This window comes from Homo sapiens, chromosome 11, assembly GCF_000001405.40.
Source record: "Homo sapiens chromosome 11, GRCh38.p14 Primary Assembly".
In the NCBI taxonomy this organism is placed as follows: domain Eukaryota; kingdom Metazoa; phylum Chordata; class Mammalia; order Primates; family Hominidae; genus Homo; species Homo sapiens.
In genome coordinates this window covers 96,574,486-96,601,469 of record NC_000011.10, presented here as the reverse complement: position 1 = coordinate 96,601,469, position 26,984 = coordinate 96,574,486, and the positions used below count along the sequence as shown (strand labels likewise).

Below are 26,984 nucleotides of genomic sequence, written 5' to 3'. Positions count from 1 at the left end.
AGGATTATTGCTGCATAATTTCTTGCCAAATAATAGATGTCATGAAAACAAACCAATCTAGAGGGGAAGAAAATATAATTCAGATACAAATCCATGCAGAGTTGGAAGAGATTAGCAATATAATTTAGAGCAGTGCCATGGTCTGTGAGGCACATCCCTTCTGCCAATGAACTCAGAACAAGGAAGTAGGAACCATCTGCAGGCTCATCCAAAACCACTCCAGCGAACAACCTCCACGCCAGCAGGTCACCATCCACATTTTTTCTCTTTGGGTTCCAGGTGTGGAATTATCAAGTTGTTCATTTATTCAGGACACACACCTGCCAACAGCTTTTCCCATAATAATCCACACAGCTTCTTTCAATCCTTCCTGTTTTCCAAAATCAATAATATGCTGCTGCCCATGCTAAGTTCCTCAGGATAACAAACTACTGAGCAGCCATAGATAAATATCTAATCCCCAACCAAATATGATATTTCAAACATGGCAAGTCTGAATTTGCCACCCTGTAGTAAAAACCTTGGCAGTTGCCTATGGCTTATACCACACTGGTTCTAGAGATTCTTGCTGTAGTGTATTCTTACAAGTGAGGCCATTTCAGAAAGATATCCCTTGAATCTTTCAACTACCAAACCTTATTATATTGCCTACAGAAAGACTTTAATTCCACTTTAGGGCAATTTATGTTACAGATGTTTCTCTGTATTAAAGCCTGCTTCAAGAGTCTGTCTCTACTCTCTGTGCGTAAAATACAGAAGAATGTGTAGTTGGTAGGAAGCAATTAGAAGAGGAGGTTTGAAGTAGGAGGGCGTTGAAACAATCATGATAGAGATCAATCTTCCCAAATCGCTGCTGGAGAAAAACTTACTTCTTATCAGAGCAGAGAAATTACAGAATTTTTGTTTTGTTTCATTTAAAGACAGGATCTTGCTCTGCCACCCAGGCTAGAGTGCAGGAGCGCAGTGGCACATGCAATCACAGATCACTGCAGCCTCCAACACCTGGGTGTAAGCGATCTTCCCACCTCAGCCTCCTTAGTAACTAAAACTACAGGTGTGTGCCACCACTCCCAGCTAATTTGTTGTTGTTGTTGTAGAAATGGGGCCTTGTTACTTTCCCCAGGTTGGTCTTTAACTCCTGGCCTCAAGTGATTTTCCCATCTTGGCCTCCCAAAGTACTGGGGTTGCAGGCATGAGCCACCATGCCTAGTCAGAGCACAGAATTTAAAAGAATTTTCTGTTGAGCCAAGAGTCATGTGCGTGTGTCATCGATGGAGGTGCCCTGGTCAGGTCTCCCTCGAGGGAATCTGCTGCTGGGACTATGATTGACTGACAGGCTTCAGCTGCCATAACTGTAGATCCATGACAGCATTCACCCCAGTTTGTGCTTCTTCCAGGCATCTCCTAGCCTATGACTAAGCACAGCAGGGGCTAGAAAAAGGCATAGCTACCCAGTGCAGGGTGAAAATCTGGCTCAGGGGCTTCTCATATGTCTGTCCGAAACTTTCTCAGAACTAATCTCCAATAAGGGGTTCTTCTTACTCAGCACTTCCTTCCCATTATCCTTTCAGGTTCCAGACCTATATTGTAATCTGAAGCGTTCTCCTTGCCCACTACTCTTGCTGCCTCCCCTCTTATCTTTCACAGGAACATCATACTTTATGGGGTCCAATACTGTGACTATCACTGTGCAATTTTCTAAGCCAAGCAGAGAAGTTTAACGCTTTTATATTATATCCCAGTTTTAAGCTGTAAGGGATGAAATGGAATTCACAGGAAAAAAGAATATAGAATTCCATGAGCCAAGTTCAAAGAAGTAGGATCACCTGAGGTAAGGAGTTCTAGACCAGCCTGGCCAACATGGTGAAACCCCATCTCTGCTAAAAATACAAAAATCAGCCAGGTGTGGTGGCACGACCCTGTAATCCCAGCTACTCGGGCTCGGGAGGCTGAGGCAGGAGACTCAGCTTGAACCTTGGAGGCGGAGGTTGCAGTGAGCCAAGATGGTACCACTGCACTCCAGTCTGGGTGACAGAGTGAAACTCCATCTCAAAAAAAAAAAAAAAAAAAAAAAAAAAAAAAAAAAAAAAAAAAGTTTGACTTTAAAAATAACATAATATGTGAAATGTACAGACATACACACATGCACACACCCACCTATAGCTATACCTATCTACCTTTTCTTTTCAGACAGGGTCTCACTGTGTTACCCAGGCTAGTCTTAAACTCTTGGGCTCGAGCAATCCTCCCACCTCAGCCTATTGAGTAACTGGGACTACATGTGCACACCACCACACCTAGCCATTACCCATCTATCTTATATTTTAAAAAAACAAAATAATGCAGATATGCATATATTACTCATATTACATATATAAATGTGTGTGTTTAAATCTTCCTTGGTTTCCTGAGCAATCTTTGCACTATTCTATTAATCAGAAGTTGCATAATAAACTTTGCCATTTATTAGTTTTGTTTTCATCTTGGGTTCAATTAAATAAAATCCTAAATATTTGTGGGTAATTTGAGATGGGTTTTAATTATTATTTAATATAACTGCCTCCCTCTCCCTTGCTGATATCATGGTAAGTAAATCTTGATAACGGGTTTTGGCAAAGTGAAATTCTTTGAATATACAATCACTGACCTACAGCTTTGTTTTGTTTTCCTTTGTTTTTGAGACAGAGTCTCTCACTCTGTTGCCCAAGCTGGAGTGCAGCAGCACAATTTCAGCTCACTGCAACCTCTGCCTCCCGGGTTCAAGCGATTCTCCTGCCTCAGCCTCCTGAGTAGCTGGGACTACAGGCACACACCACCACACTCAGCTAATTCTTGTATTTTTAGCAGAGATGGGTTTTCACCATGTTGGCCAGGCTGTTCTCAAAAGCCTAACCTCAGGTGATCCACCCCCATCAGCATCCCAAAGTGTTGGAATAACAGGTGTGAGCCACTGCACCCAGCCTACAGCATATTAATAGGATTTTTGCTTAAAGATATTTCACAAACTGAATGTGGAAATAGCTTGTGCCATTGCTATACCATCCTCTAAGTAGTTTATCTGCACTGTGAATTTAAGATTAATACTCTAATTATTGTGAAATACTCCCAAGGCACAAAAGCTTGTTTTTTTTTATAGTGAGTTTTGAAAACCTATTGCAGATCTCTAGTCCTTATTGATCTGCAATGCTGCTGCTCTATGGGTTTGTATGTTTGGAGCTCCTACTGGATTATAAGAAAAGCCTATGAATATTCTTTCTTGTCATTTCAGAGTTACCAAAGTAATAGGTAAATGTGGATGTTCTCATATAAAATGCCTCCACAGCTAACATTTCTAAAGATAATTACCAATATAAACTGATCAGCAGCAGTACTTGTCAATTTAGAGGAAAGGAGTTTTCCAGTCACCTTGCTAGACAGCCTACAACTCATTTTGGAAAAACTTACTTAAAATTTAATGTGGCCCTGAAAACTTTCTTCATTCTCTCCTAGTCTACCTACATATTTAATTCTTCCAATAATATTTACCTCCTTTTATTTTGGAAGCTAAAAGAATTTAGCAATCCCCCTTAATAAGCTTTAAAACTAAATCTACTGAGCCCCACACACCATCTAAGCCTGGTAGTTCTGCAGAATCAAGGCTCATCTAAAGGGAGATAGAAAAAAATACATATTTTCTCCTTGATCTATATGGTAACTTCCTAAATTTTAGACTAGCTTCATACTGATTTAAAAGTATGCATGAGGCAATGTGTATTTATCTGTATTACTAGCGCATATGGTTTGGCTCTAACACACAAGTCAAGAACCCAGAAGTGTCAAACTCTATTACCAACTCTAGGAAAAACTAATTGTACTTTCACATTTAAAACTGGAATGGGGTTATTGGGACACAGCCAACCAAAACCATAGTAGGTAATTCTGTAATTATAACATGCAAATAGTTAAGAAGGTAAAAACCCCAAACATTTTATTTTCTCAACATTTTAAGGTTTTCTTTTTATATCTCTCTCTTAAATTCTCAGTTATTTTTCTTTTAGTAGAAATTTAAGTTTAATGTATTAAATGGCACACAAATATTGATGTGAATAATAGATGCCCAAGGTGCAAACTACACGTGTCACAAATCGCCCTATTTGGCTTTGAGAGGTAGTTAAACAGTATCCTCTCAGAGCCACACTGCACATTAAAAGTAAAAAGACGTCCTGGGATAGAGTAAAGCTTCTGAAATGAAACTGCACATATGTGGGGAAGGCTTGGCAGCAGCAGGATCCTTTAGAATAAGGGGAAGAATGGAAGAAATGAACAAGCACTTACATTGCTGAGTGCCTTTTATGTGACAAGAGCTCTATAATTCTCAACACAACAGCCTGTATTTACACTAATCATAGCATTTATACCAGGAGTGCTGATTATCTCTTACATGCCTATCTTCTCTACTGGATTTTAAGTTTATTGAGTGCAAGATCAAATATTACTTATTATTTATTTTTGCCAAAACATTATCTACCAGTGACTAGCACAAAGTAGGTAATCAATAGATATTGGTTGACTTAATGAATAAGCCAATTTCCTAACAATTAGTATTCCCATTTGATGAACAAAGAGACTAAGGCCCCCAAGAGTTAAGTGACTTGTACAGATCACACAGATCACACGGGTTAGTAATAGCTGAAGAGGAATACAAATCCAAGCCTGTCTGATTTTGAGAACCAACTTTCTACTGCACCAAGCAGCTCTATGGATGCCATAGTGGACCAAGCCTCAGAGAAGAGCCTTAGGGTTTGTGAAAGGATGGCAGTAGAAGAGAAAACTTTCACACATCTTCCCGTGAACATGAAAGATTTCAGAGAAGTAAAAATGAAGAGGACAATTTTATTTCTGGGTACAGTTCAAACTAGGACAAAAATCATAGCATCGGGGTAGGGAAAGTCTCTCATATTTCCTGGCAGCCTCTTCAATAGTGGCTTTTCCTCTCCAACAGTTTGTGTTCATTTGCTTTTCTCTGTGCTTCCTTCCTGTCTTTCCCAGCACAGCTTCTTTCCTTATGAGGTTTAGAATTCCAGGGAGACATCTGTATACAAGGTCCAGGAAAAGCAGCTAAGAAGTCATGGTACAGACTATGGAGTCCATCTGTGAGAGTCCCATCCCCACTCTGCCCCATTCTAACCAGGTGACATTGGGCAAATGATTCAATCTCTCACAGTCTCAGTTGCCTCCCCTGGAAAGTGAGAGTATTAATAATAGAACCTATCTACTGTATAAGAATTAAGTGAGTTAACACATGTCAAGTGCTGAGAACAGTAGCTAGAACATGGTAGGAACTTAATGACAAGTAGCAATTACCATTACCATATCCTTGACCCTAAAATTCAGGAGCACAGCAAGCTGCCTGCATAACACAGCCCACTGATCTGCAAACACATCTATAATGTTCTAGGTTAGGCTTGGGACATAGAGACCCAACATAAAACTCCCCTCCCAAAGGCAGGAGTGAAGTGTTGCTGGAAGTAAGTGAAACAAATCTGAATAATATTTTCTAATATCCCTCGATTTAAATAGGCAATAGCTTGGAGCATAAGCAGCTGTAGTTGGGGTCTTTTCCTCCACGCCAATCACTACATGTAAAAACCATTCTTGTGTGTCTAGAGAAAGAAAAAAGAGTAGCCTTTCCTCATTACTCTTCTCTGAGCATGTGAAATAGTATTGCAAGTTTACTTCAGTACAAGAATGAATTCTACTGTTTCTTCATCTGGATTGCTGAAGACTTAAGGTAAGGGAGACTATGCCCAATTTATTTGGAAATTACAAATATATAAGAAGCTAGGACCAATTTATTTGGAGCCATTTTCTTAGTTATGAGTACTCATCAGAAAAAGCAATGATTAGGATGGTAGAGGGGTAGGGGCTGACATAACTAAATAAGGACCTATTTGTTTTTCATATAACAACATATCCAAAAGTGTGCAGTCTATGGATGGTGCAATTGCTTAAATAGGTTATCAAGGACTTATTCTGTCCTTACTCTGCTCTCATTCAGATGCATCTTTCAGGCTTTATTTATAAGATGGCTGTTTTAATGCTAGTCATTGGGTTGAAGATCACAGAAAATGAAATGAAGGAGAAGGGCAAAGGACAGAAGGTTGAAAAATCAAACCAGAAATATACAGCTCCTTTAAAACAGCCTTCACAGAATCTCCACCCAGTGATTTGCTGCACCCAGTGATTTCCATCTTCGTGGCCAAAAATTCTTGGCTCAATCACACGAAACTGTTGTTAATAAACTATGCCATGCATTTAAAAATATGGCTTATGATCCAATCGAATATGGCATATGGAGACAAGTAACACTGAGAGACAGGATGTTTTGCCTGGACGCATTGCCACTCTAGACAGAATTGAGCTTCCATCAGTGAGAATAAATGACTAAATAAATATTAAGGAAACAACTAGCAGTGTCACCCATGTTCACAAAAGAAGAAGTCTAAAGACTGCCTGTGTCCTCATAAGAAATTCTCTAAAATGGCCAGGACACCATGAATAACAACAATAAAGAGCCATAATGTATTTTCTCAGTGGAATAGAATAATCCTCCACTTTAGTGGAGCATGTACCCAGACACAGCATTAAAACAAGTATATTAATAAATACAAATATAGGCCTATAAAAACAAAGCTCTACAGCAATAACATCTCATGGCATCAGCTCCCAGTCCTTCTCTTAGGTTGTCAGTGGTGACCAAATGGTTAATATAAACATGCTTTTAGCTTATGTTCCAAAGCAAAGGTTTAAAAGATGCCAAAGTAAAGACTAATGATACCCAAGAGGTATCAACCTACAGTCATTTTTTGGCAACAACATATAAGAAAATGCACATTTCACTTTTAAGAAAAGAAATGCATGATGAGATTGTATACAACAGTTTGAGAGAAAGGCAAATGGGCATCACAAAGAAAATATGCCAAATGGGACAAAGGAAGGAATCTGAAAAATCACTGTAGAAAAGTAATAAGATGGATAACAAGGTTAAGCAAGTCATGCAAAAGGATAATGGAAAAGGGAAGAAAGGCAATGAAATACAAATGATACATATGAGAGGTACATCATGGTATGTAACATAGAAATAATTCTTGTGTTTGAAAAGTGGTAAATATATGCAAAAACAATAATTAACTATTTAACAAATATTTCTACTTGAGGTAGTATTAGAGACTACATTCCCTGAAAAAATTCTCAGTACATAAAAAGTATAAATACATAATAAAATCTGATTCAAAAAATACTTGTAAATATAGATCTGAACTAGCAAAACCATAAAGGAGTTCCTCAAACACCAAAATAAGTAGATGATACATACGTACAAAATATATACATAGCAGTTCTCATTCCTATGCAGGAGCTAGGAAAGTAGATCTCATGAAGATGGGGAGTATATTGGTGGTTACCACAGGCCAGGAAAGGTAAGGGAGAGAAGAGGATAAAGAGAGGTTGATTAATGGATACGAAAATACAGTTAGATAAAAGGAATAAGATCTAGTGTACAATGGATCAATAGAATTACTATAGTAAACAGTAATCTATATTAAATTTTAAAATAGGTAATAGAGAATAAGCATTTCCAGCATAAAGAAAAATGTTTAAGGTGATGGATATCCCAATTATCACGATTTGATTATTACACATTATATGAATGTATCAAAATATCACATGTATCCTCAAAATATGTTACATCTGTTACATATGAATTTTTTAAAAAACAGATTATACCAAAACATTAAAAAATGTAGATACATAGATTTCATGCACATCCATGTGAAGAGACCACCAAACAGGCTTTGTGTGAGCAACATGGCTGTTTATTTCACCTGGGTGCAGGCGGGCTGAGTCCGCAAAGAGAGTCAGCGAAGGGAGATAAGGGCGGGGCCGTTTTATAGGATTTGGGTAGGTAAAGGAAAATTACAGTCAAAGGGAGTTTGTTCTCTGGCAGGCAGGAGTGGGGGTCGCAAGGTGCTCAGTGGGGGTGCTTTTTGAGCCAGGATGAGCCAGGAAAAGGACTTTCACAAGGTAATGTCATCAGTTAAGGCAAGGACCAGCCATTTACACTTCTTTTGTGGTGGAATGTCATCAGTTAAGGTGGGGCAGGGCATATTCACTTCTTTTGTGATTCTTCAGTTACTTCAGGCCATCTGGGCGTATAGGTGCAAGTCACAAGGGATGCGATGGCTTGGCTTGGGCTCAGAGGCCTGACATTCCTGCCTTCTTATATTAATAAGAAAAATAAAACAAGATAGTGTTGAAGTGTTGGGGCGGCGAAAATTTTTGGGGGGCGGTATGGAGAGAGAATGGGCGATGTTTCTCAGGGCTGCTTCAAGCGGGATTAGGGGCAGCTTGGGAACCTAGAGTGGGAGAGATTAAGCTGAAGGGAGGTCTTGTGGTAAGGGGTGATATTGTGGGGATGTTAGAAGAAACATTTGTCTTATAGAATGATTCGTGATGGCCTGGATACGGTTTTGGATGAATTGAGAAACTAAATGGAATAACAGAAGGAGAAAAACAGGTATAAAAGGTCTAAGAGTTGGGACGACTCAGGATAACTGATTAGAGAGTGCCTAAGGAGATTCAGCATAGTCCTGCCAGCAAAGATTATTTATTTACTTCAAGAGTTAAGAGTGGCAGTTTGGGGATAGCACCAGGAGATATCAGCTGTGATGGCTTGGAAAAACAGTGTAAACCGGCAGTGTAAACAAGAGCAGGGCATGTATGAGTAGTTGAGAACAGTGAATAGGAGTATGACTAGACAGAAGATAGTAGGGATGACAAGTTTTTTGGGGCACAGTCTAAGTTGGTCTGGTGTCTGGAATGAGACTGGGGCCTAATAAAAAGGAGCATCTATACAGGACCTTAAATGGGCTGTACCCTGTAGCATTCAGAGGACAGGCCTGAATTCTGAGAAGGGAAAGTGGTAAAAGTATTGTCCAGTCCTTTTTAAGTTGGTGGCTGAGCTTGGTGAGGTGTGTTTTTAAAAGACCTTTAGTCCATTCTACTTTTCTTGAAGATGGAGGACTGTAAGGGATATAAAGGTTTCACTGAATACTAAGAGCCTGAAAAACTGCTTGGCTGATTTGACTAATAGGCTCATCTGTTATCAGACTGTATTGAGGTGGGAAGGCTAAACTGAGGAATTATGTCTGACAGAATGGAAGAAATGACTGCGGTGGCCTTCTCAGACCCTGTAGGAAAGGCCTCTACCTATCCAGTGAAAGCATCTACCTAGACTAAGAGGTATTTTAGTTATCTGACTCAGGGCATGTTGAGTAAAGCTAATTTGCCAGTCCTGGGTGGGGCAAATCCTTGAGCTTGATGTGTAGGGAAGGGAGGGGGCCTGAATAATCCCTGAGGAGTAGTAGAACAGCAGATGGAACACTGAGAAGTTATTTCCTTGAGGATAGATTTCCATGATAGAAAGGAAATGAGAGGTTCTAAGAGGCGGGCTAGTGGCTTGTACTATAGTATAACCTGCCTTTGCTGGTATGTGGCGATTAGGCCTGGTGGAACTGCCATCAATAAATCAAGCCTGATGAGGGTGAGGAACAGGAAAGAAGGAAATTTGGGGAAATGGGGTGAATGTCAGGTGGATCAGAGAGATACAGTCGTGGGGGTCAGGCGTGGTATCAGGAATAATGTGGGAGGCCGGACTGAAGTCCGGGCCAGGAACAACGGTAATTGTGGGAGACTCAAAAAAGAGTGAGTATAGCTGAAGGAGCTGGGGAGCAGAAAGTATATGCATCAGGTATGAGGAAGAAAATAGATTTTGGAAGTTATAAGAACTGTAGAGAGTGAGTTGAGCATAGTTTGTGATTTTGAGGGCCTCTAAAAGTATTAAAGCAGCGGCAGCCGCTGCACGCAGACATGAGGGCTAGGCTAAAACAGTAAGGTCAAGTTGTTTGGACAGAAAGCCTACAGAGTGTGGTCCTGGCTCTTGTGTAAGAATTCTGACCACGCTAACCATGCCTATTAAGGAAAGGAGTTGTTGTTTTGTAGAAGGAGCTGGGGTTTGAGAGATCAGTCGGACACGATTGGCAAGGAGAGCATGTGTTTTTATGAGAATTATGCCGATATAGGTAACAGATGAGGAAGAAATTTGGGCTTGATTGAAGTAATGGGAGCTGTCTGTGAAGCTTTGTGGTAGTACAGCCTAGGTAATTTGCTGAGCTTGATGGGTGTCAGGGTCAGTCCAAGCAAAAGCGAAGAGAGGCTGGGATAAAGGGTGCAAAGGAATAGTAAAGAAAGCATGTTTGAGATCTGGAACAGAATAATGGGTAGTAGAGGGAGGTATTGAGGATAGGAGAGTATATGGGTTTGGCACCATGGGGTGGATAGGCAAAACAATTTGGTTGATAAGGCACAGATCCTGAACTAACTTGTAAGGCTTGTCTGGTTTTAGGACAGGTAAAATGGGGGAATTGTAAGGAGAGTTTATAGGCTTTAAAAGGCCATGCTGTAGCAGGCGAGTGATAACAGGCTTTAATCTTTTTAAAGCGTGCTGCGGGATGGGATATTGGCGTTGAGTGGGGTAAGGGTGATTAGGTTTTACTGAGATGGTAAGGGGTGCATGATCGGTCGCCAAGGAGGGAGTAGAGGTATCTTATACTTGTGGGTTAAGGTGGGGGAATACAAGAGGAGGACGCAAAGGAGGCTTTGGATTGGGAAGAAGGGCGGCAATGAGATATAGCTGTAGTCCAGGAATAGTCAGGGAAGCAGATAATTTAGTTAAAGTGTCTCAGCCTAATAAGGGAACTGGGCAGGTGGGGATAACTAAAAAGGAGTGCTTAAAAGAGTATTGTCTAAGTTGGCACCAGAGTTGGGGAGTTTTAAGAGGTTTAGAAGCCTGGCCGTCAATATCCACAACAGTTATGGAGGCAAGGGAAGCAGGCCCTTGAAAAGAAGGTAATGTGGAGTGGGTAGCCTCCATATTGATTAAGAAGGGGATGGGCTTACCTTCCACTGTGAGAGTTACCTGAAGCTCGGCATCCATGATGGTCTAGGGGGCTTCCAAGGTGATCGGGCAGTGTCAGTCTTCAGCTGCTAAGCCGAGAAGATCTGGGAGGGAGTCAGTCAGAGAGCCTTGGGCCAGAGTTCCAGGGGCTCTGGGAGTGGCTGCCAGGTGAGTTGAACAGTCCGATTTTCAGTGGGGTCCCACAAAGATGGGACGCGGCTTAGGAGGAATCCCGGGCTGCGGCATTCCTTGGCCCAGTGGCCATATTTCTGGCACGTGTAGCAAGCTCCTGGGGGAGGAGGTTCTGGAGAAACACCTGGCTGCTGCAGTTCAGGCATTTGGAAGTTCTTGTGTGCTGGAGATGTGGCTGGGGTTTGTCTCACAGTGGAGGCAAGGAATTGCAACTTTTTTCTGTTATTGTACACCTTGAAGGTGAGGTTAATTAAGTCCTGTTGTGGGGTTTGAGGGCTAGATTCAAATTTTTGGAGTTTTATTTAATGTCGGGAGCAGATTGGGTAATAAAATGTATATTGAGAATAAGACGGCCTTTTGACCTTTTAGGGTCTAGGGCTGTAAAGCATCTCAGGGTTGCTGCCAAACGAGCCATGAACTGGGCTGGATTTTTATATTTGATGAAAAAGAGCCTAAACGCTTCTGATTTGGGATAAAGAAAAAGGAGCATTAACTTTGACTATGCCTTTGGCTCCAGCCACCTTTTTAAGAGTAAATTGCTGGGCAGGTGGGGGAGGGCTAGTCACGGAACTAAACTGTAAGCCGGACCAGGTGTCAGGAGGGCAGGTGATAAAAAGATTATAGGGTGGAGTAGCAGAGGCTGAGGAAGAATTGGGACCTAGCTTGGCCTGGCGAGGAGCAGCCTGGGGAGGAGGGGAGAGGTCAGATGGGTCTGTAGAAAAGAAGATTAGAAAGACTCAGCCACGCTTGGGGTTGGTACTGAGGGGACAGGCGGGAGGGAAAGAAAGAAGATTTGGGATGAGGTGCACTGGGCACAGAGACTAGGAAGGGACTGATGTGTAAAAGAATGCCTGGATGTCAGGCATCTCAGACCATTTGCCTATTTTTCAACAAAAATTATTTAGGTTTTCCAGGATGGAAAAATTCAAAGTGCCATTTTCTGGCTATTTGGAACTACTGTCGAGTTTGTATTGGGGTCAAGCAGCATTGCAGAAGAAAATAATGCATTTAGGTTTTAGGTCAGGTGTGAGTTGAAGAGGTTTTAAGTTTTTAAGAACACAGGCCAAGGGAGTAGAAGGAGGAATGGAGGGTGGAAGGTTGCCCATAGTGAAGGAAGCAAGCCTAGAGAAAAGAGAGTAGAGAAACGGAGGGAAGGGTCGGGGGTTCTTATCTTCCAGAAAAGTGGGAAAAGGGGTTGGGGCGCAGAGATAAGAGGTCCAGGCATGGAAATAAGGGATTGGGGCACAGAGATATAAGAGGTTGGGGTGTGGAAATAAGGGATTGGGGCACAGAGATAAGAGGTTGGGGCACAGAAGTAAGGGATTGGGGCACAGAGATAAGAGGTTGGGGCGTGGAAATGGATTGGGGTGCAGAGATAAGAGGTTGGGGTGCAGAAATAAGGGATTGGGGCACAGAGATAGGTTGGGGCATGGAAATAAGGGATTGGGGCACAGAGATATGAGGTTGGGGTACTTGCCCCTCCTCTAGAAAAGCGGAACTTGCCACTAAGAGTGAAGGAGAAGGGGTTGAGGGGTACTTGCCCCTTCCCCAGAAAAGCAGGACTTGCCGCTAAGGGTGAAGGAGAAGGGGTTGAGGGGTACTTGCCCCTCTCCCACAAAAGCGGGACTTGCCGCTAAGGGTGAAGGAGAAAGGGTTGAGGGGTACTTGCCCCTCTCCCAGAAAAGCAGAGAAGGGGTAGAGACAAGAAGAGAAGGGGTTGGGGTACTTGCCCCTTCCCCAGAAAAGCGGGACTTGCCACTAAGGGTGAAGGACCAAGGCAGGCATCCCTGCATGGTCTGACACCTTTGAAACGTGAGTGTATAATCAGAGAGGCGTCCCTGCAATGATTAAACACCAAGGGAAGGCTGCCTTCCCAGTCCGTGACTGGCGCCGGAGTTTTGGGTCCACGGATAAAACGTGTCTCCTTTGTCTCTACCAGAAAATGAAAGGAATTGAAATTAAGAGAAGGGAGAGAATGAAGACTGGAAAGGAGAAAGTGGTTGAGAGACAGTGAGAGAGGTTGGAGAAGAGAGTAAGAAGAGGCTGCTTACCTGATTTAAAATTGGTGAGACGTTCCTTGGGCTGGTCGGTCTGAGGGCCTGAGGTCATAGGTGGATCTTTCTCATGGAGCAAAGAACAGGAGGACAGGGGATTGATCTCCCAAGGGAGGTCCCCTGACCCAAGTCACGGCACCAAATTTCATGCGCGTCTGTGTGAAGAGACCACCAAACAGGCTTTGTGTGAGCAACATGGCTGTTTATTTCACCTGGGTGCAGGCGGGCTGAGTCCGCAAAGAGAGTCAGCGAAGGGAGATAAGGGTGGGGCCATTTTATAGGATTTGGGTAGGTAAAGGAAAATTACAGTCAAAGGGGGTTTGTTCTCTGGCAGGCAGGAGTGGGGGTCACAAGGTGCTCAGTGGGGGTGCTTTTTGGGCCAGGATGAGCCAGGAAAAGGACTTTCACAAGGTAATGTCATCAGTTAAGGTAAGGACTGGCCGTTTACACTTCTTTTGTGGCGGAATGTCATCAGTTAAGGTGGGGCAGGGCATATTCACTTCTTTTGTGATTCTTCAGTTACTTCAGGCCATCTGAGCATATACGTGCAAGTCACAAGGGATGCGATGGCTTGGCTTGGGCTCAGAGGCCTGACAATAGATATATAGATATGTAAGCAAATACTAAGAATGAAGTAGAACCAAGGGATTAAACTACCATAAAGCTGCAGTTGTCCTGAAGTCATAGACAGATACCTAGGATCACAGAGTTTGAGTTTTAACAGCCAAAAACTAAGCATTAGATATGAAAAAAGTATAATTTTTTAAAACTCCTGAATTAATCCAAAAGCAATGGAATAAAGCATAGAGAAAGCAGAACAACAAAAAGCATAAATGAAATTATAGAAATAAATTTTAAAATATTATCAGCAATTCATATAATTGCAAATCCATTTAAATTTTTAAAGTCTGTTTTACAAGAGATAAACCCAAAATACACAAACAAAGTTAAAAATAATACCATAAGCCAGAGCAGTCAGGCAAGAGAAAGCAATAAGAGGCATCCAGGTAGGAAGAGAGGAAGTCAAACTATCTGTTGAAAGACTACATGATTCTATACCTAAAAACCCCCAGTCTCTGACCCAAAGCGCCTTGATCTGATAACTTCAGCATAATTTCAGGATACAAAATTGAAGGGGTGGCCTGCCCCTCCACACCTGTGGGCGTTTCTCGTCAGGTGGAACGAGAGACTTGAGAAAAGAAAGAGATACAGAGACAAAGTACAGAGAAAGAAAAGTAGGCCCAGGGAAACCGGTGCTCAGCATACGGAGGACGGGCACCTGCACCAGTCTCTGAGTTCCCTTAGTATTTATTGATCATTATCGGGTGTTTCTCAGAGAGGGGGATCTGGAAGGACAATAGGGTAATAGTGGAGAGAAGGTCAGCAGGAAAACAAGTGAACAAATTTCTCTGCATCATAAACAAGGTAAAGAAAAAAGTGCTGTACTTTTGATGTGCATATACATAAACATCTCAATGCCTTGAAGAGCAGTATTGCTGCCAGCATGTCTCACCTCCAGCCCTAAGGTGATTTTCTCCTATCTCAGTAGATGGAATATACAATGGGGTTTTACACCTAGACATTCCATTGCCCAGGGGTGAGCAGGAGACAGATGCCTTCCTCTTATCTCAACTGCAAAGAGGCCTTCCTCTTTTACTAATCCTCCTCAGCACAGACCCTTTACAGGTGTTGGGCTGGGGGACGGTCAGGTCTTTCCCTTCCCAAGAGGCCATATTTCAGACTATCACATGGGGAGAAACCTTGGACAATACCTGGCTTTCCTAGGCAGAGGTCCCTGCGGCCTTCTGCAGTGTATTGTGTCTCTGGGTACTTGAGATTAGGGAGTGGTGATGACTCTTAACAAGCATGCTGCCTTCAAGCATTTGTTTAACAAAGCACTTCCTGCACAACCCTTAATCCATTTAACCCTGAGTTGACACAGCACATGTTTCAGGGAGCACAGGGTTGGGGGTAGGGTTACAGATTAACAGCATCTCAAGGCAGAAGAATTTTTCTTATTACAGGACAAAATGGAGTCTCTTATGTCTACTTCTTTCTACATAGACACAGTAACAGTCTGATCTTTCTTTTCCCCACAAAAATTAATGTACAAAACTCAGTAGTATTTCTACACACAAACAAGGGGAACTTAAACAAATTTACAAGCAAAAAACAACCCCATTAAAAAGTAGGCAAAGGACATGAACAGACACTTTTCAAAAGAAGATATACATGTGGCCAACAATCATATGAAAAAAAGCTCAACATCACTGATTAGAGAAACACAAATCAAAACCACAATGAGATACCATCTAACATCAGTCAGAATGGCTATCAATAAAAAGTCAAAAAATAACAGATACTGGTAAGGTTGCAGAGGAAAGGGAAGGCTAATATACTGCTAGTGGAAATGTAAATTTGTTCAGCCATTGTGGAAAGCAGTTTGGTGATTTCTCAAAGAACTTAAAACAGAAATATCATTCAACTCAGCAATCCCATTATTGGGTATATACCCCTAGTGCTATTGCACACTTAAAAGACTGCGTACAGTGTATATATAACTTTTATATGCACTGGGAAAGCCCCACAATTTGTGTGATTTGCTTGATTGTGATATTTGCTTTACTGCAATAGTTTGGAACCAAATCTACAATACCTCTCAGTTATACCTCTGTTTAAAAAATAAGAATAATATGCACAGTTTTATGTCATCCAAATTGAACATGTAATTAAAATTCATCACTTCTCAGGGCCAGGCACAGTGGCTCATGCCTGTAATCCCAGCACTTTGGGAGGCTGAGGCGGGTGGATCAGCTGAGGTCAGGAGTTTGAGACCAGCCAGATCAATATGGAGAAACCCCATCTCTACTAAAAATACAAAATTAGCCAGGCGTGTTGGCGCACACCTGTAATCCCAGCTACTCTGGAGGCTGAGGCAGGAGAATCACTTGAACCTGGGAGGTGGAGGTTGCAGTAAGCCAAGATAGCACCATTGCACTCCAGCCTGGGCAATAAGAGCAAAACTCCATCTCAAAAAAAAAAAAAAAAAAAAAAAAAATTCAATTCTCAGAAAACTGAATTCAAAAAGAAAAACATTAGAGCGGAACTATAAATATTTTTAAACTAAAACTGTAGTTTAAGGTATACAAACACACATGCACACATACACACACACACTTCAACTAAGCCCAGATCATTTTTTTAGTTTTTTTTTGGTATATAATATTTGTACATATTTGTGGAACACATGTGATATTTTGATATATGCATAGAATGTGTAATGATTAAATCAGGGTATTTATGATATCACCTCAAATGCTTATCATTTCCTTGTGTTGGGAGCATTTCAAATTTTCTCTTCTAGCTATTTTGAAATATTCAATATATTGCTGTTAACTGTAGTCACCCTGCTTTGCTACTGAACACTAGAATTTATTCTTTCTATCTAATTGTATTCCCTCTATCTAACTACCTAACTGTTGGTACCCATTAACCAACCTCTCCTCATCCCCTCTCCACACACATACACAACCTTGCCAGCTTTTAGTATCCATCATACTACTCTTTACCTCCATAAGATAATCTTTTTTAGCTTCCACATATAAGAGAAAACATGCACTATTTTGTATTTCTGTGCCTGGGTTATTTCACTTAACATAATGACCTCCAGTTTCATCCATGCTGCTGCAAATGACAGGATTTCATTCTCTATGGCTGATTATACTTCATTGAGTGTATATGTCAAATTTTCTTTACCCATTCATTCAGTGATAGGCATTTAGATTGATTCCATGTCTTAGCTATTGTGAATAGTGCTCCAATAAACATGGGGGTGCACGTATCCCTTTGACATACTAATTTCTTGTCCTCTGGGTAAATACCCAGTAGTAGAATTACTAAATTGTATGGTAGTTCTATTTTTAGTTTTTTGAGAAAACTTCATACTGTGCTTCATATTGGCTGTACTAATTTATATTGTCACCAGCATTTTTTTATCTTTTTCATAACCAAAAGTGACAGTGATAACTGAGGTAAGATGGTATCTCATTGTGGCTTTGATTTGCATTTTTGATTAGTGATGTTGAGCATTTTTTCACATACTTGTTGGCCATTTGTATGTCTTCTTTTGAGTAATGTCTATTCATACTTTTGCCCACTTTGTAATGAGATTACTTGGTTTTTGTGGTTGTTGAGTTGTTTAAGTTTCTTGCACATTCTGGATATTAGTTCCTTGTTGGATAAACAGTTTGCAAATATTTTCTCCCATTCACCATGTTATATTTTCATTCTGTGGATTGTTTTGGGGTTTTCTGTTATGTTGTGGTGGTGGTGGTTGTTGTTGCTCTTGCACAGAAGCCTTTTGGTTTAATAGTCCCATTTGTCTATTTTTTTGCTTTGTTTTGTTGCCTATGCTTTTGAAGTCTTAGCCACAAAATCTTTGCCTGGATTGATGTCCTGGAATGTCACCCCTCTGTTTTCTTACTGCAGTTTCATAGATTCAGGTCTACATTGAAGTCTTTAATCCATTTTGAATAGTTTTGTATATGGTGAGAGATAGGGATCTAGTTTGATTCTTCTGCATAAGATATCCAGTTTTATCAGCACCTTTATTGAAAAGGATGTCCTTTCCCTAATGTATATTCTTGGCACCTTTGTTTAAAAGTTGGCTGTAAATATGTGGGTTTACTTCTGGGTTCTCTATTCTGTTCCTTTGGTCTATGTTTATTTTTATACCAATACTGTGCTGTTTTGGTTAGTATAGCTTTGTAGTATATTTTGAAATCAGGTAGTGTAATTCTGCCAGCTTTGATTATTTTGTTCAGGATTGCTTTGGCTGTTCAGGTTCTTTTTTGGTTGCATGTGAATTGTAGGATTTTTTTTCTATTTCTTTGAAAAACATAATTGGTATTTTAACAGGGATTGCATTAAATCTATAGATTGCTTTGAGTAGTAGAACTATGTTAATAATATTAATTCTTCTGATCCATGAGCATGAATGCCTTTTAATTTGTTTCTGCCTTCTTTAATTTCTTTCGTTAGTGTTTTGTACTTGTCCTTGTAGAGGTCTTTCACCTCCTTAGTTAAATTTATAGGTATTTTCTCTTTTTGTGTAACTGTGGCAAATGAAATTGCTTTCTTGATTTCTTTTTCCTTCAGTTTGTTGTTGGTGTACAAAAACAGCTACTGATTTTTGTATGTTGATTTTGTATCCTCCAACTTTTTATTAGTTCTAAGAGGTTTTTTTAGGTTTTTCTAAATATAAGATCATGTCATCTACAAAGAGGGACAATTCAACTTTTTTTTAACCTTATTTATGTTGAAGGACTACCGTTTGACTTTTTCTTTTCCAATTTAGATGCCCTTTACTTTTTTATCTTGCCTGATTGCTCTGGCTAGAACTTCCAGTCCCATGTTGAATAGGAGTGGTGAAAATGGGCATTCTTGTCTTGTTCCAGTTTTTAGAGAAAAGGCTTTCAGCTTTTCACTCTTCAGTATGATGTTAAGTGCAGGTTTGTCATAAATGGCTTTATTATGTTGAAGTATGTTCCTTCTATGTCTAGCTTGTTGAGAATTTTTATTATAGTGATGTTAAATTTTATCAAATGATTTTTCTGCTTCTATTGAGATGATCATATGGTTTTGTCCCTCATTCTGTTGATGTGATGTATCACATTTATTGATGTGCAGACGTTAAATCATCCTTGCATCCCTAGGATAAATCCACTTGATCATGGTGTATTATCTTTTTGATGTGTTGTTGAATTCAGTTTGCTAGCATTTTGTTGAGAATTTTTGTGTCTATGTTTATCAGGGAGATTGGCCTGTAGTCTTCTTTTTTGTTGTGTCCTTGTCTGGTTTTGAGATCAGAGTAATGCTAGCCTCAAAGAATGAGTTAGAAAAAAAGTTCCTCCTCTTCACATTTTTATAATAGTTTGAAAAGAATTGGTGTTAGTTCTTCTTTATAAGTTTGGTAGAACACAGCAATAAAGCCATCCAATATTGGGCTTTTCTTTTCTGGGAGTTTTTTTAATTACTGATTCAATATTGTTACTCATTATTGGTCTGTTTATTTCTTTTATTTCTTCCTGGTTCAATCTTGGTAGGCTATATGTGACCAGGAATTTATCCATTTCCTCTAGGTTTTCCAGGTTTTTAACATATAGTTGTTTACAATAGTGTCTGATGATCTTTTGTATTTCTGTGGTATCCAATATATTACCTTCTTTTTTATTTTTGATTTTGTTTATTAATCCAGACAGCTTTACAGATTAATTCTACTAAACATTTAGTAACAAATAGTTCCTACCATATAAAAACTTTTACAAACAATAGAAAAAGGCATTCATTTTATGAAGTTAACATAATCACAGTAGTAAAATTTAACCAGAAAATAAAACAAGAAATAAAATTAAAATCCAATGTGGTAGCATAGGACTAAATGCCTACTTGAAAATAATTGTTATGAATTTAAACTGAAATTACTTTTCATGATTTTGTGTTTTTCCAGATACATACAGTTTTATGAATGCAGGTGCAAAGTATGTAGAGAGTTAGATTTAACCCAAGTGGTGGTTCTGCCAAATGAATTTGAAGAAACAAACAGGGAAAAAGGAGTTGGGCACATTTGAAAGGGAGTAATTCCAATGGCAGGTCATGGAATCTATTCGGATAAAGAAGGAAGAAAGGATAGCAGAGGGATGAGGGATGATAAAAAGATGCTAGGGTCCATAAACTACAATCCCTGATGGGAGATGGAAAATTGATTTGATCAGCAATCCTTCGATGTAGGAAAGGCAATATTATTTTCACATTTATATATGATGAAACTGAGACTCAGATATGCTAACAGCCTTTTCTAAAGGAAGTATATACATGAGAAATTATCAGAGCTTTCATTCCAATGTGAATACCCTGGCTCTCACTCCCTTTTCTGGTCTTTACTGACTTCCACATCTTGCTAATTTTCCTGGTTACTGCTATTTCTTAGGGGTTAATTCTCACTTAGGGTCAACTAAGGATTCCCACATAATCAGTCAGATTTTGATAAGGCTCAGATTTTGTTTCTATTTTAATAATGTTGTAAGTTCGAATTTTTTGAAATAATTATTTAAGATGAGAGGAAACATCTGTTTAAAAAGGGAAATGAACTTTATTGCCACAAAATGCCCACACTGTGTAAGAATGGAGAGCACAGTCCAACGTTCTCAAAATCCGTGTATATTCTATTACAACTAATTTTCTTCCAGTCTTCCTTCTCTATTTATATTCCATTCACAAGGTTTCTCTGCTCCTTTTTTGAAGGTTGAATTTTGAACACACTATTTACAGCCTGCAGGTTTTTTGTTTCCTTGTTCTACATTGTAGGTTGACTAGGAAGTGCTAAGAATACCTTTCTCTAGAAGACTATAAATCGCCACATAAAGTCTATTTGTTTGACAACCTTTCCTCCCCTTGGTAACCTTACCAAGAATTCCTTCAAGGTCATCAAACTTGAAATATGTATTTATAATCATTATGTAATAAAATGAGAAGATGGGACTTGTTTGGACATCTTTTTATACAAACTGACATTTATTCTTCTGCCAATATCAATAAATAAAAAGAGCTGCAAAATACATGCGTCATCATTCAGAAAACTGACAAAAATGACTGGAGAGTTGTTGCTTAAGTAAACCAGTTATCATTTAAGTATCAGGGTCAGAAAATATATGGTGCTTAGTTTGATTTATCGTCTAGGTGTGTGCCTGCTTCTTTGTACCATCAATTTCCTAAGTATAACCTATCAATTTGGAGAGACACACTTTCCAGCTCAACAACACCAGTGCATTAACATCTTTGAAGGCATTCACCACACATGTAAGATGTAAATCAAAAGTAAATTTATTCTAAAATGATGTTTTTAAGATACTATTGTGAAAAATTAAAAGTACCTCCAGGGAAATAAAAATAAAACACTTTCTAAAATTGGAATGCACTGTCTTGTGTCCAGAATTGCTGTTGTAAGGCAAATTTGTGTTTAGAAAATATAGTTGTTATCTTGATATTTCCTTCTTTTTTGTCACTCCTAAAAGGCCTTATTTGCTCTTATTTATATTTCTCCTGCCTTATTCCGCCATATAATTTTCTCTTACACTTATATACTTTTGATTTCTCAGTAGTTTAGCCTACTTGATTTTCTATGTAACATTGAATTCCTGCCAGTTTTGTAAAACTTATTTCATATTGCTTTAAAGTGTGATTTTTCTCAAGCCCCAGATGCAGTAAATGTGAAACACTGTGCTGTGTGGAAATTTCAGTCACTGCATTTGTTTGGTTAAGACAACTTAATTGCTTGCAGAGGCAGCTCCAGTTTCAGCCAGTAAAACAAATTCAATGATCACTGTGAGTAAGGTGAGAACAAAGAAGAAATAGTATTTCATTCTTCTGCTGGTGGCTCTTCACTGCACTTATCACCACTAGGGAGTCAATGTTGGAGGGAGGGTGTCAAAAAGAGTGAGAATGCAGAATTGACAAGTAATGTTCCCATGAAATTATTGCTGAACCAGATGTAGAAAAATAATATCAAGCAAATATTTCAAATAACAGACAGCTGCACAGAAAAGGCAACTCTGAGAGCTTTCATCACAATAAAATGTATTTTAAAAGTAAGAGGTACAGACTTCCCTCAAATACCTAGCCTCCAAAAGTGTTGCTTTGAAGAGATCTAATAAACTGTTGCTGAAGTAGAAGAATCAGCTTGACATTGGTGAGATTTTTAAAGAAATTTTTAATGTATATGTTGCTGCATCTCATTCTACCTCTTCTCTACTCAGAATGTTATATGCGGAATTTAAAGGACGACGCAAGGTTGGGGAGTAAGAAGTAACTTAGTCCCATTCCTATCAAACCGCACAGCTCTTCCAGAGGGGGAGACACATAATCAATCATGGGTGAGAGAATCCCAATATCCATTGCAACCTTATGAGTTAAGAGACCATCTACAGATGTGTAAAGTTTAGGAGAGTAAAAGAAACTACAGAAGAAATCTTGGAAAACCAAGATGCCTACTTTGGGCAAATAACATTTTGATGAGCTCTGCAGATTCACTTTCCTGAAGGTCATGTTCAAAAGAGGTCATAATGCTCAGATGGGCAATAGTAGTAAGAATACCACCCAGGCCCATTGGCAGCAGCATATGCCTTTGAGCATAATACTGAGCTGCTTCCACCCACAAGCCCATGAGAAAATTGTGTTATCTTTATTATCTGGTGGGATCTGTGAAAGCCTGGAGTGTTAGAGGAGGGAAAGACACTTGAAAAATTAATCAAAGAAAATCCAGAAATTCTTAGTGTAAATTGGGCTGACATTAGATAGGAATTTGTATAGATGTTCACTGTGCATATATCCTTGAAAAGATAGTTTAGATCAAAGGGCTTCGGTGAACCACTTTGCAAGACATTCAGGAACACAAAAGACTCACGGAGAATTTTCTCTTAACACTGCCTTTCACTGAATAGCTACCCAGGAGAGAAATATTCCTTCAAAAACAATATCCAGAGGCCAAAGCAAGAATTCCAACCCCAACCCATAGTGTCTATACTTTCAGAAAGAGATTATCTCAAAAAATATATTCCAAATGCAATTTCAGGGCTGATGCAATTTTTATCTCTTCATGCTTTTGTTATCTACCACTTTGCAATTACTGAGTGAGTGACTCTGTTTCATAGTAAAATGCCCCATAATATTTACTGAGCCTTTTTATATGCCAGGCATCTTGCTAACCACTCTACATGGCTTACATAATTTAAAGATTGCAATAAGTTTATAAAGGAAATATTATTCCTGACTTATTGATAAAAAAGCAAGACTTCCAATCAAGACTATATGGTAAATTCTGTCTGTGAGCTACATACACTCATACACACATGCACACACACACACATACGTGCATGTACAGATACACACATATTCAACCCACTCCCACATATCACTCTCATTAATATTTCAAAAAGAGTTAATAAAATTTGGACAAGGTGGAGTAAGATAGCCAAATAGAAGCTTCCACCAATCATCTTCCATGCAGGAACACCAAACTGACAACTATCTACACAAAGGAAAAGTATCTTCCTAAGACTCAAAAATCAGGTGAGCAATCACAGCGCCTGGTTTTAATCTCAGTTCACTGAAAGAGGCACTGAAGAGTGTAGAAAAGACAGTCTTAAATGCCGACACCACCCCTCCCCCATTCCCCAGCAGCAGCCATATGAGGCAGAGACTCTGCACTTGGGGGAGAGAGAGTATAGTGATTGTGAGACTTTGCATTAAAACTCAGTGCTGTCAACACTGAGAAATACTCAGCTGACGTCCATGGAGGGAGCATTTGGACCAGCCATAGCCAGAGGGGAATCCTACATTATAGCAGTTGGAACTTGAGTTTCAGTTAGACTTGCCAACATGCTAAAGTGCTCTGGGGTCCTAAATAATCTTGAAAGGTTGTCTAGGCCATAAGGACTGCAATTCCTAGGCAAGTCTTTGTGCTGTGCTGGGCTCAGAGCCGGTAGACTTAGGAGATATGTGACCTGTGAGATACCAGTTTGGGAGGCTAAGGGAGTGCTTGCAACACCCCTCCCCTAATCCCAGGCAGTGAAACTGACAGCTCCAAAACAGACCCCTTCCTTGTAATTAAGGAGAGGAGAGGAAAGAGTAAAGAGAACTTTGTCTTGCAACTTGGATACTAGCTCAGCCACAATAGGATAGGGCACCAGGGAGAGTCATGAGGCCCCCATCCCAGGCCCTCACTCCCAGATGTCATGTCTACACGCAACCTAGGCCAAAAAGGAACCCACTTCCTTGAAGGGAAGAACCCAGTCCTGGCAGTATTCACTACCTGCTGAGTGAAGAGTCCTTGGGCCCTAAATAATAAGCAGTGGTAACTGGGTAGAACATGCCATGGGCCTTGGGTGAGACTCTGAGACATGCTGACTTCAGGTGTGACCCAGCATATTCATAGCTATGGTGGCTGTGAAGAGAGACTCCTTCTGCTTCAGAAAGCAAAGGGAAGAGTAAGTGGGACTTTGTCTTGTAGCTTATGCACAAGCTCAGCCACTGTGGGAAAGAACACCTAGGGGGATCTTGGGGTCTCTGATTCTAGCCTTGGCTCTTGGATGGCATCTCTGGACCTATCCTGGGCCAGAGGGGAGCCCATTGCCCTGTAGCATCAGTCCCAGGCCTAGCAGCATTCACCACAAGCTGACTGAAGAGTGCTTGGGCCTTAAGTGAACATCGGCAACATCCTAGCAGTACTCCCATGGGCCTGTGGTGGTGGTGGTGGACACAGGGAGAGACTTCTCTGCCTGGGGAAAGGGGAGGGAAGAATGGAAGGACTTTGTCTTGTGATTTTAGCCCCAGCTTAGCCACAGTAGAATAGAGTACCAGGTAAATTTCTAAGATTTGTTACTCTAGGCCTTGGCTCCTGGATATATCTCCGGACCCATCTGGGGCCCAAAGGAACTTGCTGTCATGAAGGCAAGGACACAAGACTGGCTGGCTTCACCACTTGCTGATTGTTGAGCCTTGGGACCTTGAGCAAATATAGATGGTAGCCAGGTAGTGGTTACAGTGGTCCTTGGACAAGACCCCATGCTGTGCTGGCTTCAGGTCTGACCCAGCACCGTCCCAGTGATGGTGGCCACAGGGGTGCTTTTGGTGCCCCTCTTCCAGCTCCAGGTAGCTCAGCACATAGAGAGATTCCATTTGATTGGGAGAAAGTAAATGAAGAGAAGAAGAATCTCTGCTGTCTAGGCCACAGGATAATAAAAAGACAGGTAATCAAAAGAATTCTTCCAGATCAAATTGAAGACTACCAAGTCAGTACCTCTACGAGTGCAAGAATTACAGTGTTACTGGGCTTGGGGTGCCTTCTAATTCAGATATAGCTGCAGTGACCAAAAACTTAGATCACAACATCCAAGTCCCTTCAAATATCTAGAAAGCCTGCTGAAGAATGATGGGTATAAACAAGCCCATACTGAGAATACTACAATAAATACCTAACTCTTCAATGCCCGGACACCAATGAACATCAGAAGCATCAACACCATCCAGGAAAACATAACCTCACCAAATGAACTAAATAAGACACCAGGGACCAATCTCAGAGAGACAGAGATATGTGAACTTTCAGAGAGAGAATTCAAAATAACTGTTTTGAGGAAACTCAAATGAATTCAAGATAGCACAAAGAAGGAATTCAGAATCCTATCAGATAAATTTAACAAAGAAATTGAAATAATTAAAAAGAATCAGGCAGAAATTCTGGAGGTGAAAAATGCAATTGGCATACTGAAGAATACATCAGCCTCTAAGCAATTGATCAAGCAGAAGAAAAAATTAGTAAGCTTAAACACAGGCTATTTGGAAATACAGGCTATTTGGAAATATGGTCAAAAAGAATAAAAAAGAATGAAGCACACCTAAAAGATCCATAAAACAGCCTCAAAATGGAAAATATGCGAGTTATTGACCTTAAGAAGGAGGTAAAGAGAGAGACTGGGTAGAAAGTCACAGATGAGTTAAAAGAAAAAAGACAGAAATATATATGTATATGTGTGTGTGTATATATATATATATATGTACATATATACACACTATATAAACAGTAGTCAAAAGAAAAATAGCATGACCCAATTAATATTAAACAAAAGAGACTTCAAAATAAAGAATATTTGCTAAGATAAAGAGGGGCATTTCATAATGATAAAATGGCTAATTTATCAAGAAAACAGCAATTCTTAATGTTAACCTAACAACAGAGTCAAAGTAAATGAAACAAAATTTAACAGAATTAAAGAGAAAAAATAATTAATTAATAATTATTGTTGGAAACTTTAATACTCTTCTATCAATGATCGATAAAACAATTAGATCAATCAATATAAATTTGAAGAAGAATTTGAACATTATCAACAAATTTGTCCTAATGAAATTACAATGCACCACACCCAGCAGCTGAGGATATACAAGCTTTTCAAGTGCACATAGAATATTCACCAAGCTAGATCATATGATGAGGCATATAAAATAAGCCTTAAAAATTTGCAGTGTTTTTTGCACACAAAACATATTCTTTGACCAGAAAACAGTTTAATTAGAACTCAAAATCAATAATATATCTTGATTATCCCCCAAAATATTTGAAAATTAAGCATACACTTCTTAATAATCCAGTGTCGATGAGGAAATCACAAATACACATTAGAAAGTATTTTAACTTAATCATAATAAAAACACAACATGTCAAAATGTATGACATGCCATCTAATGAGGTTCTAAGAGAGAAATTTAGGGCTTTAAATGTTTACTTAAAAAAACAAGAAAAGTGTAAAATCAAAGATCTAAGCTTTCACTTTGAGAAGCTAGAGAAAGAATAACAAAGTAACTCAAGATAAATAGAAGAAATAAAATGATAATGATAAGAAAATAATAAATATAAAAAGCAAATAACATTCAACTTTTCAAAACAAAAGAATAGACAATCTATATTACATTGCATCCATTAGAGAAATTAAATCAATAATTTAAAACCTTCCTAAAAAGGAAGCTTCTGCCAAGATGGCATCAATGGTGAAGTCTATCAAACAATAAAGCAAAAAAAAACCAATATCACCAACGCACTTTCAGAAAATGAAGAGCAAGGAACACTTTTACTCATTTTGAAACTAATACCCTAAAGTTAAATCTTGGCAATGACATTACAGGGAAAGAAC

At 39.6% G+C, this 26,984-nt stretch overlaps 6 annotated features.

The window, feature by feature from the left end:
- Positions 7,566–8,207: an enhancer, noted in NCBI's record as "OCT4-NANOG-H3K27ac hESC enhancer chr11:96464263-96464904 (GRCh37/hg19 assembly coordinates)". NCBI's record gives its function as "activates a minimal SCP1, AML or CMV promoter by ChIP-STARR-seq in naive and primed H9 embryonic stem cells {active_cell/tissue: H9 hESC(naive and primed)}" and the evidence as "EXISTENCE:reporter gene assay evidence [ECO:0000049][PMID:30033119]".
- Positions 8,208–8,851: an enhancer, noted in NCBI's record as "OCT4-NANOG-H3K27ac-H3K4me1 hESC enhancer chr11:96463619-96464262 (GRCh37/hg19 assembly coordinates)". NCBI's record gives its function as "activates a minimal SCP1, AML or CMV promoter by ChIP-STARR-seq in naive H9 embryonic stem cells {active_cell/tissue: H9 hESC(naive)}" and the evidence as "EXISTENCE:reporter gene assay evidence [ECO:0000049][PMID:30033119]".
- Positions 14,226–14,813: an enhancer, noted in NCBI's record as "OCT4-NANOG-H3K27ac hESC enhancer chr11:96457657-96458244 (GRCh37/hg19 assembly coordinates)". NCBI's record gives its function as "activates a minimal SCP1, AML or CMV promoter by ChIP-STARR-seq in naive H9 embryonic stem cells {active_cell/tissue: H9 hESC(naive)}" and the evidence as "EXISTENCE:reporter gene assay evidence [ECO:0000049][PMID:30033119]".
- Positions 14,226–15,401: a biological region, named in NCBI's record as "OCT4-NANOG-H3K27ac hESC enhancers GRCh37_chr11:96457069-96457656 and GRCh37_chr11:96457657-96458244".
- Positions 14,734–14,934: a silencer, noted in NCBI's record as "peak1411 fragment used in MPRA reporter construct". NCBI's record gives its function as "represses an SCP1 promoter by STARR-seq MPRAs in K562 erythroleukemia cells {active_cell/tissue: K562}" and the evidence as "EXISTENCE:reporter gene assay evidence [ECO:0000049][PMID:32103011]".
- Positions 14,814–15,401: an enhancer, noted in NCBI's record as "OCT4-NANOG-H3K27ac hESC enhancer chr11:96457069-96457656 (GRCh37/hg19 assembly coordinates)". NCBI's record gives its function as "activates a minimal SCP1, AML or CMV promoter by ChIP-STARR-seq in naive H9 embryonic stem cells {active_cell/tissue: H9 hESC(naive)}" and the evidence as "EXISTENCE:reporter gene assay evidence [ECO:0000049][PMID:30033119]".